Consider the following 14,339-nt stretch of genomic DNA (forward strand, 5'->3'; position numbering starts at 1 on the left):
CCAGCATTTTGGGAGGCCAAGGCGGGGGGATCACAAGGTCAGGAGATCGAGACCATCATGGCTAACATGGTGAAACCCCGTCTCTACTAAAAATACAAAAAAAAAAAAAAATTAGCCAGGCATGGGTGGCGGGCACCTGTAGTCCCAGCTACCCGGGAGGCTGAGGCAGGAGAATGGCATGAACCCGGGAGGCAGAGCTTGCAGTGAGCTGAGACCATGCCACTGCACTCCAGCCTGGGTGACAGAGCAAGACTCTGTCTTAATAATAATAATAATAATAATAGGATTGCCATTTAAGCAAAAGATGATATTCTGAAACTTCTACTCATTATACCAGAAAGCACTGAATTTTGATTTATTCATTAAATCTTTCTTTTATTTGTATAGGAGGTATTTATCTCCAACTATCTGTGCTGGACTCTGTGGCAGGCAAGGAAGATGCAGAGGCTCATGGATGAATATAAGAAATATGTAACCTCAAGGGTCTTCCATCTTTTTCAAAGAATTGGACATATAGATAAATAAAAACATAATACACATTACTAAATACAACCCTGGAAATGTTATTCATATGGTTTAATCTGAGAGGAGGGTCATTTAATTGATCTGTGACCACCAAGAAAAGCTTACTAATAGAGGTATGGCTTGAGAGGACTAGTAGAACTTATTCCACAAGAGGGCACACCTTGTGAAAGTTATGGAGTGTGGAAAAACATGTAGTGAGAACAGCAGCCAATATGAGGTTGCTCAAGTGGGATCTGGGAATGGTGGGAAGTGAGAACAGGCTGAAATGTGGTCAGGGAGAGGTGTCTTTTATGACACACTAAGGATCAGGAACTGTAGACTATAAACTGATAGAGCCTGTTTTTTTATGCCTCAAGCAAAATGTCAGGTAAAATTCAAAACTTCTGACACAATTTCATGCAACATAGAGACTATGAAAATTGCTGAAGGATTTTAAAACGAGTGACATGGGTCAATCAGCTATTCAGAAAGATCACTCTGGAAGTTATCATGAAGGATAGCTTGAGGAAAGTAAGACAAAAGGCAGAAGGACTAGAGTCTGTTGGCATTCCCTAGAAATATAGATCTTAGCCATGAAAGTGTTACAGACTCTTCATATTACTGCAATTATTATTAATAGCTACATTTATGTATGTTCAGTATGTTAGGCACTGTGTTAATAGGTTAATATATTATCTCATAATAATGCCAAGAGCAAACCTATGAAGATTATATTAATATTCACCGTGTTAGTCCAGACTCTTAGCAAAGCAGACACCAAGAAAGGGCCATATCTGCAAAGATTTTTCACTCCTACCACAAGCAAAATGCTTGTGTAAGAGAAAATAGGGAGGGCTCCAGAGGAGGATGAGAAAGACCATGATGTAAGATTAATCCAGAGGGAAGTAAAGGGGAGGGAAGGATGGGTGGCAGTGACTTAGATGGCAGTGGAGTCTAATGAAGCTTTGTCAAGGACAGCAGGGAGTTTGGCCCAAAGTCAGCAGTTGTAAGTGTCCCTTCTATCCCAAGAACAAGACTCACTCAATATTTCTGCCCTGCTTTGATACCTGCTGGGAGCAGCCCCCAGGAAGCATGGCCTCAGAGATAATGTGGCAATGGGTTTTAGAGCATGGTGTCTAGAGCCCTTCTTCAGCTATACATTCCCTACTTGGAGGCCTGTGAGAATCATTCTCTTAGCAAGAACCAGCTATATAATATGTGGAGCCTAGTGCAGAATGACAATGTGAAACCCTTTGTTAAAAATTTTTAAATATTTCAATATGACAACGACAGAGCATTAAACTGAGTGTGGGCCCTCCTAAGCACATGGCTGTGTGTGGCTGCACAGGGTGGCATACCCATGAAGTCAGCACTGCTCATAGCTACCACAGCCTAAATGAGAAACAAATGTTAAACTCTCAACATTGAAAAGCTAAGAAACTGTTGTCATTTTACAAATGCAAGTATTTGCACATTGAAATACCATTTTCCTGCACTTATTTTAAGAATAGTTTTTAAAAGGTGGGCTAAGTTGAAAAGACTTGAACAGTTGAAATTGATTGAACTTGGTGTATTATTTTTGTACAGGTTGAGGGATTTTTTTATGTGTGCATGAAGGATGTGAGAGGAGATTCTTGCTGAACATAAATTGGTACCTACAGCAGAGATAGATAATTCAGGAAAAGAAACAGGTTGGAGGCATGGATCCTGAGAATACTTTTGGACATGCTGATTTTGAAGTGCATTGGGACGTCTAACTCAAGATCTGAAGGACACAGCTGGGTGCATGAGTCAGAAGTTTGGGTGAGAGGCCTGGGCAGAAATGAAAAATGTGTACAATCAGCACATTACCAGTTTATTGACCCATCTGAAATAAGTGATGTACAAATCCAAAATGGTTTTATTTTTATCCAATTATTTCCTTTGAGAAAGAAAAGCAGCCCCTCAGCTGTCAGCTGAGAGCTGACCTTGCACTAACAGCTAGGCCATGGTATTCTCCTGACAAACTAAACCATTTCACAGAACACCAATATCAGACAAGGTCATTCTGTGACAATGATGGAGTGAGCTAAAAACAAGCCCCCTCCATAATCGTGACTGAGCACAGACAGATAAAACACCGTCCATACTACAAAAATGGCCAAACATCCCCATCTCCAGACTAGCATGAGTTCCTGCTTCTCTGTTATTGATTACAACTTTTGCCCTGCTTTGTGTTCTCTGCCTCCTTTTTGTTTTCTTTTCTTCTTCTCTTTTTTTTTAAAAGAGACACAGACTTGCTCTGTCATCCAGGATGGAGTGCACAATAGTGGCATGATCATAGTTCACTACAGCCTGCAGCCTAAGCAATCTTCCTGCCTCAGCCTCCCAAGTAGCTAGGACTGTAGCTCTCTGCTACATGTCTCTGACTTCTCCTCTGCCTGTCTCTGACTTCTCCTGTAGCAGCTAGAGAAAAAATTCTGCTTACAAGGAGTTCATTTGACTAGATCAGGTCCACTCAGGTTAATCTTCATTTTGCCATATATTTAACCACGGACATGATGTCTTATGTCTACAGGTTCCATCCAAACCCAATGGGATTACACAGATTATTTATATCAAGAGAAAATAATCTTAAGGCCAGTTCAGAATCCATAATGAGCTTTTTCATTCTTAAAGGAGTACCTTGGCCCTAAAGCATTGATGCTTTCTTTATGATATGAAATAGTTGAATCTAGATTCATATCTTACTTAGCAGATTCATAACGGGAAATGTCCCTTCACGGTTTTTTAAAGGCACTAAAGTGCTTAAAAATCAGTAAGAGAGATTACCTCACATTTGAAGAGTAAAGAGAAAGAAACATTAATCCACAACATCAGCAGATATTTAAGGGATGGTGAAGGTAGTGAAGTAAATAGAGGATAGTCAGAGAATTTGAAGACGGGTAGAGGATGGTTCTCTGTCATGTTCAAGGAAATCAAAGGAACAAAAGGTTTTAAGGTAGAAAATCTTTACAACACAGTCAAATGAAGGAAAAAGTTTGGATTTTTAGAAGAACCATTATCTTTGTCCGTGAGTTAACAGAGTGATAAGTACGATCGTGTGATGGAGGCAAGATATATTTTAAAAAGAGGAAGCAGGGACAAATCTGTACATTGACTATTTGAATGAGGATGTGGTAGGAGATAATGGAAAACAAGATCAAAATATTTTGTATGGTTTTGTATTAAACTTTGCTGCTTATTCCTTTTTAGTATGAGAAAGACTTGAGATTATAGCCATTGGGAAAGGAGCCAGTAAATAATTAATAGGTTTGAAAATCCACAAGAGGAAGGGTATAATTAATACAGTAGGAATCTACAAGAAAAAAGGAAAGATAGAATGAAGGATGACAGTGTAAATAAAACTCATCCTGGGATTCTTGCAGAAAGGGCAAAAGGATGGCTGGAAAAATACAAAGAAATACATCTTTAAAGTGAGTGGACAGGATATTGAAGGAGAAAGTACTCTAGTACTTTTAGTTTGCTAAATGAAACAAATTCAAAGATGCAACACCATTAATTGGGAGCAAGAGTTCCAGGCAATGAGTAAGAAACCTTATTAACCTAATCAGGGGGTTAATAAAATGCATTGAAATCATGAGATGATAAAAGCTAAATTAAAGAAGTGGTAGATGGGACCAACATACAGCTGGGATTAGGGATCAAAGATTTTATTGGCATCAGTTTACACACTTATGTAATGTTCCAAAGGAACAGTTGATCAAATTATATATATTAAAGAATGCAGTCTAACTGTAGTTTTGAGAAAGTGTTTATGCTTTGCTAGCACGTGTAGGATTTTAGAGAGTAGGGTTACAGAGAACAGAAATCCCTATCTGTTTACTCTTTATTGTGTGAACAATGTAAAGCAAGGAAAGAAAAAGAGTCAAGGCTAGGACTGCTCACGGATAGAAGATACAAAGTTAGAAAAATTGGGCAAAAGTCAGGTGTGAAGAGACAACCTTGAATTTATCAAAGATGAGAACATTATTTACTTTTGTAGTAGTTTTTGTTAAGAAATTTTATGTAGAGTTTTGTTTATGTTATATTTGATCCATACCATGTTTTTATTTTTAACTAAATAGCAATCTAGTTTCTTTCCTAATATGACTATAAAATCTGAAGAATTACTAAATAGTCATTAAAATGTTCCCAAGGAACTGAGATAATGTGTAATTATCTATGCTTATGTGACCTTGAATATGAAGAAGCAGTTTTAAAAAATGCAAGGATAATAGTGTTTCTTTGCCAAATGAATAATTAAGAATTTTTAAAAATGCCATTTTGTAGAAATGAAGTGCTGGTTCATAATATCAGTTTCTTCTTTGAATGGTCAATCTGGGGGGGGCTTTGAGAAAGGGAGGAGCCAGAGAGTGTGAATAAATTAGCAAGCTTCCAAAATCATTAAATGCTGCCTTTTCTTTATACAATGGCTTTCATACATTCTAAACCTGTATTTTAGGTAGGGTCATCCTTACAATTTTAGTGGAAACTCATAAAAATAGTGTATTTAGAAAATAGACACTGCAGTTAAAAAAAGAATATTAAAATATATTACAAATAACAAATTCTGATCCCAATTGGATAGTAGCACATTGAGAAAGCACGTTAACTCGTGGTATTGAAGAACAGTTTCATGGAAATTCCTAATGAAAAGCAAAATGGCTACATTTTATCTGGACTGTGGGGGCTTCATAAATGATAGTTATTTTGTAGTTCAGTGAACTGATGTCAAAGGACAACAGCAAATAAATTAAATGAAACAAAATCAAAATAAGATAATCTGGTTTCCAGAATATAAGCATCTATTGCTAATATGAAAGGAAGCATCTCTTATTCAAAAGCACATCAGTTTAATTTCACATGCTTGTTTTCTTTTCTAAACCAAGATGCACTTAACTTACTCTTCCACAATGAAAGCATATTTTGTTTGCAGTTATAGCAACCTCTATATTTTTATGCTGATATCACAAATTTTCAAATAAAATATGATTTTTTCCAGCATCCTACATTTTATGGATGCATAATCTTTGTTCGAAGTTAAATCCAACTGACAGATTTACATTATATTTAATGGAATGTACAATGTTGACTTTTGAATTCAAAAATAAATGTACATAAATATTCCCTTCTTTCCTAAATATGTTTATTTAGTGATAACAGAAACTTTCTCAAGAATGGAATCAACACAGCAAACAACTGAAACAAATCTGTTACAAGATTCTGTTTTCTAGCACAATTATTACAGGGGCTTTTACTAAAAAAAGTGCATATTAATTTATTTTCTTGGCACAACATTATATTATAAAATGACTAGATTTTTAACATGCATGTTAAAGAACCAAACTGTATAAAAGGTTTACAACATTATAATTAAGTGAAAAACTCTAGTGCCTCATCCCGTCTGTAATTCAACTCGAGTTAATTTTTTTACCCATTTTTGATTTTGGTACTCCTGATAACACCATGATAAGAAATTTGAAGCTTATCCCTCTTTTTTATTTGTAGTTTTTAGAGTCTCCTAATCTCCTTATGAAAGATAACATTTTTCTCACTCACAACATCTCAACTTCTACCCATTACCAAACAACTCATACAAATCCTTTAACTGGTTGCCATCAACCAGTTGCCATTGTGATATTAGTAGTCCTTCAATAACAATAATGTTTTTTAAATTATGACTTAATGTTATTAAATATAAAATATTTCATATAATGAACAAAGAAATCGGAATAATAGAAAAAACATCCATTGATTTACAATTCACCTTTGAAAAATAATGCATAATAATATTCCTCCTCCCTCTAGAGAATAACACAATTAAGATATTTTGGAATTTACAATTATTATAGACCTCTATGTACATTTACTATATAAATTTAGTGAATATTAATACCTTTAATGTCTACAGTAGTTATCAAACTTTTCTTTATTTATTGGCATTTTTTAGACCTTGCTGAAGTTTGAGGAAAACATATGAAACATGCTATTTCAATTTTTCCTCAAGCTTTATTTCTATTTACTTTATTTCTACACTTGTATTTCGTGAATATGTTTACAGAGCATCCATGACATTTTCCCATTTGTGGCATGTTATATTAATAGCCAAAATTATGAAAAATGGGACATTTCTTATTTATTTTCATATATTAGAAAAGTCAGAATTTCAGAAGTTATAGAACTTCCACAAGTCTCATAATTAATAAATTGTACAATTGGGACTTGTGCTTAGATTTTTCTGCTTGAAATCTCTTGCACTTAACCAACGTACTGCTGTTTCTTATTAGATTATAGTTATTTATGTATTAGTCTATAGCTTACTGTGTCTTTTAAGGAAGACTGATATTTCATACAATCTTATATTCCTGTGCTGAATATTGCCTGGTTTGAATAGGTATTTCATAAATGTTACTTCCTTCCATCTGCTATTCACATAAATGAATGACCTTCTCATGCTTTATGTTCAAAGGCTGAAGAAACGAATAATGCTATTAATCAGAATAGGACAGTCAGGTCACTCAAGAGTCCAACATCACTTGATAATAGATGTAGAATGTGTTGTCTGATTTGAGTTGGCAGACACTATACATCTTAACAGAGTCTAACTCTTTGGAATGGGAGGAAAAACTGTACAGCCATTTTTAAGACATATTTTACAAATTTCAGGTATGAAACATAAGAATTAGTCTTTAAAAATTATTTTATCAAAAAGAAAATAAACAAACATTTACTATATAGAACCAAACCATAAGCTATTTCTATATGATAAAAACATCAGTCAGAATATGAAACACTGCATTTATAATAAGAGTCGAATTATTCGACCAAAAGCCAGACAGGGAAAGACTTGGAACTATATCTTTTAGAATAGAGACTAATCAAGAGTGAGAGACTGCTTAAAAACATTTAGAGTCTTCACCCAGAAAAGTAACTGAGAAACTTAACTGTGTGAGATGAAAAGAAGGATGAAAAGAATTATGTAAAAATAGATGGATACCGAATGGATATTATCTAAGTACTTTTAACTAATACATAATGTTAAAAATATTTATTTTATGTAAATATAGAGTTTAATTTTATTTATACAATTTTACTGAAAATGTGGAAGGCCATTATGAAATAATAATGACTATAAAATATTATTTAAATTAATTGTACTTTAATAATGTAGATGTTAGAAAGGTTATATAACTTTCCCAATTTGCCCAAATGTTAAATGGTGGATCAAGGATTTAAACACTGAAATTTGACCCTAAAACCTGGGCTCATAATTACCAGATTAATTACTACAAGTCTTTCTCTGTATAGCCATTTTTAAAAAAATTTGGTCAAACATCTAATTATGTACACAGTGCATGATACGGATTGGCTGTGTCCCCACCCAAATCTCAACTTGTATTGTATCTCCCAGAATTCCCACTTGTTGTGGGATGGACCCAGCGGGAGGAAATTGAATCATGTGGTCACTTCTTTCCTGTGCCATTATGATAGTGAATAAGTCTCACCTGATCTGATGGGTTTATCAGCGTTTCCGCTTTTGCTTCTTCCTCATTTTCTCCTGTTGCCGCTATGTAAGAAGTGCTTTTTGCCTCCCACCATGTCTCTGAGGCCTCTCCAGCCATGTGGAACTGTAAGTCCAATTAAACCTCTTTTTCTTCTCAGTCTGGGGTATGTCTTTATCAGGAGCATGAAAACGGACTCATACAGTGCACAAGTGTCTACCAAGCTGTAGAAGATTTACAAGAGAGTAATTAATTCACCTTATTTGGACCACTTCATATCCTCAATCTTAATCCAGAAACCATCACATGTATGTCTTTTGCCAAGTCAATTTTCTATTATACAGTTATGGGACATGGTAAGCCTGCAGCATATATAAGAAAGTAATTATATAACATTTTATGTACCTTATCTAGAAAGCAACTTTGCTTTTGTTCTGAGAGAAGAAAACTATAGCTTTTTCTTTTTTTATATGGCAAATAGCGAATCAGCAAATGCCATACTTGTTAGTTGAAGAAACTTAAATATCTAAATCTCTTCTATGACATACTTTGGATATTTCTCATGTTAAACAATGCATATTTCTATTGAGTGACAGGAAAAAAAATGACACAGAGCCTGGGAACAAAGTAATATTATTTAAAAAATCAAGTTCTGTGGTTTCTTAATGATCATCTAGTTTATTTTAAGTTACTACACTGGACCTAAACTAAACTAATTAATGAGCACAAACGTTAGGATTGCTGTTACTTGAAGCTGTGTATGGAAGAATCTATAAATCCCTTTTCCTAATGTCTGGTTTGTTAGCAGCCACTGTCATATCAGTAAAAAGCACCAAGAAGTATTTAATTACGTGGCTACTTCTGGACATTGGAAATGATACAAAGTTTGACTGTGGCTAGTACTCTATAATGAAAGTATTAGCATCTTTCCGCAGTGACATAAAAGCAGCCATGGTTTTAGCAACCCTTAGATCTCTACTTAGGCATTGCCTATTCCTGCAATTAGGGAACAAGTTATTCTGCCTGTGCTGATAGATTCCTCATGCTAAATGAATGTCTGGTACTTTAGGGAAGGGAAATCAGGAAAAATATTAATCTAAAAGCACACACTCTCACTTTCACATGTAATTCTGATACTGACCATGCCATTAACCTTTATATGGTCTGGGTGTTTAGGTGCTTCATATATTAAGCCCCAGGGTGAGAATATTAGGAGGTGGGACCTTTGGGAGGTGATTAGGTTATCAGGGCAGAGCCTTCATGAATGGGGTTAGTACCCTTATAAAAGTGGCCCGAGAGACCTCTCTCATCCCTTTGGTCATGTGAGGCTAGAGTAAGAAGATGACTGTCTAAGAGGAAGTTTAGCCTCATCAGACACTGAGTCTGATAGCACCTTAATCTTGGACTTCCCAGCCTGCTTCCAGAACTGTAAGAAATAAAGTTTTGTTGTTTATAAGCTTTATAAAGCTGCCAACATTATGGTATTTTGTTATATCAGACCAAATGGACAAAATAAATCCCACCAGAGAACTTTAAACCATATCTTAAACAAAGCCCTAGTATAACTCTCCCTAAATGTAAAGATAAAAGATAAAATGTTAAAACATATGAGATCCTATTTGTCATATAACCCTAATGTGAGTTACAGAATATGCAGTCAAAATATGTTAGAGACATTGAAAGACCATTGTTTAACCACTATGAATATATACAAAATCTTCATTATAAAAAATATTAACAATTTAATGGCTTTGTTGAAACCTAAAAAGACTTATGTGTACACACACACACACAGTTTCACTAAATTAATTTAAAACTAGTGCTAATTACTGAAAATATCAAAACCATAAATGAATGAATGCATGTTGAAAGCATTTTCATAAGTAATTATAACAATATTATTTAATCTTCTAGGATATTGGAAATATCCTAGATATTTCCTATGGATCTATGATATCATAGATCCTTGAGCTTAATTCATTTTGTGAAATATCTTGACTCCATAAAGTGAAGAGTATCATTATCTCTATTAAGAGAAGAATAAAATAAAACAAAAATCAATTTAGTTGCATGAGGTTGACTATGTAATGTGAATCACAGAACCTTATGCAATTTAAGAACTAGAAAACCACTTGGAGAGCAATGAATGCCTATCAACTAATTCGAGGTGAATTCCTAGAGAAATAGCTGATGCCATTACCTAAAAGCCAATGAGTACATCACTGTGGTTCATACTTGTTTAGCCGGTCATATCAGTGGTTTTCAAATGTAGGTGTCCATCAGAATCACTTGGAGGGCTAATTAACACTGGACCCTACCCCAAAGTGTCTGATGGAGTAGATTCAGGACATCACCCGAGAATCTGGCGGTATTAAGTGTTTTCCTGGTGATAGTAATACTGCTGGCCAGAGGACAGCACTTTTATTTTTTCATTTTTTTCTTATTTTTTATTTTTATAGATACAGGAGATACATGTGCAGGTTTGTTATACGGATATATTGCCTAGTGGCGGGGTTTGGGTTTCTAGTGTATCTATCACTCAAATAGAAAATATTCTACCCAATAGGTAATTTTTTTAACCCTGACCCTCCTACCACCTTCCCCCCTTTTGGCAGCCCCAGTGTCTATTATTTCCTTCTGTATGTCCATATATACTCATTGTTTAGCTTTCACTTATAAGTGAGAACATTAAGTTTTTTATTTTCTGTTTCTGAGTTATTTCACTTAGGATAATAACCTGCAACTCCACCAATTTTGCTGCAAAAGACATTATTTTTATATAACTGTGTAGTATTCCAGGGTGTATATATACCACATTTTTAATCTAATCATTCACTTCTAGACACATAGGTTGACTTTACTGCTGTGAATCGTGCTGCAACAAATATGCAAGTGCAGATGTCTTTTTGGTATAACAATTTCTTTTCCTTTGAGTAGACGCCCAGAAGTGGGATTCCTGGGTCAAATAATAGTTCTATTTCTAGTTCTTTGTGAAATCTCCATACTGTTTTCCATAGATGTTGTACTAATTTATGATCTCAAAAAGAGTATATGAACATTACCTTTTCTTCACATCTGTTGTTTTTGACTTTTTAATAATAGCCATTCTGACTAGAGTGAGATTGTATCTCACTGTGTTTTTAATTTGCATTGCATTTCTCTGGTAATTAGTAGTGTTGATTTTTTTCATATGTTCGTGGGCCACTTGCATGTCTTTTTTAGAGAACTGTCTGTTCATGTTCTTTGCCCAGTTTTGAATGTAGTAATTTTCTTGTGTGTGTGTTGTTGTTGTTAAGTTCCTGTAGATTCTGATATTGGTCCTTTGTCATATGCATAGTTTGCAAATATCTTCTCCCATTCTGTAGGTTGTCGTTTACTCTGTTGGTTATTTCTTTTGCTGTGCAGAAGTTTTTAGTTAAAGTAAGTCTCATTTGTTTATTTTTTTTGTTTCAGTTGCATTTGCTTTTGAAGCCTTAGTCACAAGTTACTTGCCTAGGCCAATGTCCGGAAGAGTTTGTACTAGGTTCTCTTCTAGAATGTTTATAGTTTTGGGGCTTACATTTAAGTCTTTAATCAATTTTGAGTTAATTTTTGTATATGCTGATTTATAGGGATCCAGTTTCTTTCTTCGACATATCATTAGCCAGTTTGTCCAGCACCATTTATTGAAGGGGGAGTCCTTTTCCCATTGTGCATTTTTGTCAACTTTATCAAAGATCTGTTGGTTGTAGGCATGTGGCTTCATTTCTGATCAGTGCATCTATTTTTGTACAAGTCCCATGTTATTTTGATTACCATAGCCTTGTGGTATAATTTGAAGTTAGGTAATATGAGACCTCTAGCTTTGCTCTCTCTTTGCTTAGGTTTGCTTTGTCTATTCCGGCTCATTTTTGGTTCCATATTAATTTTAGAATTATTTTTCTAATTCTGTGGAAAACGACATTGGTAATTTGATAGGAGTTGCATTGGATCTCTGCATATTGCTTTTGGCAGTGTGGTCACTTTAATGATGTTTATACTTCCAATCCATTAACATGGGATGTTTTTCTGTTTTCTTTCCTTTCCTTTTCTTTTCTTTCTTTCTTTTTTTTTTTTTTTTAACAAGGTCATACACTGTTGCCCAGGCTGGAGTGCAGTGGCATGATCATGTCTCACTGCAGCCTCAACCTCTCAGGCTCAAATGCTCCAATCACCTCAGCATCCTGAGTAGCTAGAATCACAGGTATGTATCACCACACCTGGATAATTTTTAAAATTTTTAATAGAGATATCTCACTATGTAGAGGATGTCAGTACGTTGCTCAGGCTTGTCTCAGACTCTTGGGATCAAGCGATCCTCCTGCCTCAACCTTCCAACGTGTTGGGATTGCAGGCGTGAGCCTCATGCCTGGCATTTTTCCATTTGTTTGTGTCATCTATGATTTATTGTAGTGATTTGTAGTTCTTGTCCTAGGGATCTTTTGCCTCCTTGGTTAACTGTTTTCCTGGGTATTTTATTTTCGTGTGTGTCTATTGTAAATGTGATTATTGATTTAGTTTTCAGTCTGAACTTTATTGGCATATAGTAATGCTACTGTTATTTTGTTGTGTCTATTGTAAATGTGATTGGGTTATTGATTTAGTTTTCAGCTTGAACATTATTGGTATATAGAAATGCTACTGATTTTTGTACATTGTTTTCGTATCCTGAAACTTTACTGAAGTCATTTATAAAGTCTAAGAGTCTTTTGGAGAAGTCTTTGGGGTTTTCTAGATATAAGATTATGTCATCAGGGAAGAAAGATAATTTGACTTTCTCTTTCATAATGTGGTAGCTTTTATTTATTTGTCTTCCTTTATTCCTCTGGCTAGGCCTAAGGACTGCATTTTTAGGACCACTAGTCAAAATTATTCTCTTCAAATTTACAGGAGAGCAAAAAACACACAGAATTTGTTTAATATGCTAATCCCATAGCTTTTCCCCTGTACAGTCTCTTTTATTAAGTGTGGGTTATCCTACCAATTTATATATTTTTTCCAAACGCTCCTAGTGATTCTTATGATGAAATAAGATTTTAGAAACAAATCTAAATACCTGGATGGAGAAAAGGAGAATAATGAAATGATTCACCCTATTTATTACAACTCCATATACCTGAAGCCACTGAAGCACAGATGGTAACACTTTTACTGTGCTGACACCTTTACAAATTGGACCATCCTCATTTATCTCATAGGCTTGCATTTCTGTCATAGTAGGGCTGTGGATTATTATTTGAAATGCATGGATAAAAATTACTTAGGAATTCAGTCCTTGAACACTGAGCAATCAAAGCAACGGCTGTAACTATTACTCATCTTTGAAGACAGAAGGTTTATGTTTTGGAAAAGGATGATTAACTTTGATGTTTTTAATTAGAACTGTCTTTAGTCAATAAATTGGGATTTTTATCAAGAGAACACATATATTTCTTAGTGCAATTTTATTATAAGATACTCTTTAAATAAGCATTACCTACAATTGTTTAAATTATTTTCAGATTTCACACATCTTTCTCTATCAACAGAAAACCTTTAAAAATATTCTAATGCCATGCACCTGCATAGTCTCATTCATAAATATCAAGATTCTTATGTATTATTTTGCTTCCGATATGGATCGACATAAGTGTATGATGAACAATGTTCATTTTGAAAATAACTCAAAGTTCAAAAGTAAAACTCTACCTACATATTATGTAACATGAAAGCATATTTTATTTCTTCTTGATATGTGAGAACTGAATGCCAATTGAGGAAGAAATTACTGCCCCAAAACTCTCACAAAAATACAATAAGGTAGACGATTTAAAATTGATTTTAGAAGACTTATGGATCACAAACTAAAAGGAATAATGTACAGTGTCACTAAATATTTCCTCTATCAAAAAGCTTAAAATATATATTATTTATATTTCCTCTTAGAGAAACTGCTGAACTTCATGATTCTAACAGCTGCTGTGTAATTCTTGTATTTTTGTCATTCCTAAACTTCATAATCTGCAGTGCCTAAGGCAATATCAACGTGGACAAATGGCAAATCTAATTAGATATGACTCTAATACAATGTTGCACAAGGTAAACTGAGTGTATTTTCTGTGTAAATGTAATATTTCCACAGCTCCTACAAGAATAAGTAGGCCCCAATATAATATAATACAATTTTTCTATGAAACAAGTGTGAGTTTCTGAAGGAATTTTTCATAATTCTCAGGAATGTCATTAGAGTCAGCAAACAGTTTCAAATAAGGGTGAATATCCATTTCAAGTAAAATAGCAGAATTGCAAAACTAG

At 34.5% G+C, this 14,339-nt stretch overlaps 2 long non-coding RNA genes across 5 annotated transcripts in view; one reads left to right on the forward strand and one right to left on the reverse strand.

Moving 5' to 3' along the window:
• Positions 1-14,339, forward strand: part of LOC124904475 (uncharacterized) — a 765,263-nt gene that overhangs the window by 705,180 nt on the left and 45,744 nt on the right. The window lies entirely within an intron of this gene.
• LOC107985242 (uncharacterized) overlaps positions 1-14,339 on the reverse strand; it is a 199,987-nt gene that overhangs the window by 1,611 nt on the left and 184,037 nt on the right. For all 4 annotated transcript variants that reach the window (XR_001738351.2, XR_001738356.2, XR_001738353.2 and 1 more), the window contains one exon: positions 8,031-8,251. This is a non-coding gene — a long non-coding RNA (uncharacterized LOC107985242). The remainder of the gene's footprint in view (positions 1-8,030; positions 8,252-14,339) is intronic.

This window comes from Homo sapiens, chromosome 1 (assembly GCF_000001405.40).
Source record: "Homo sapiens chromosome 1, GRCh38.p14 Primary Assembly".
Classification (NCBI taxonomy): domain Eukaryota; kingdom Metazoa; phylum Chordata; class Mammalia; order Primates; family Hominidae; genus Homo; species Homo sapiens.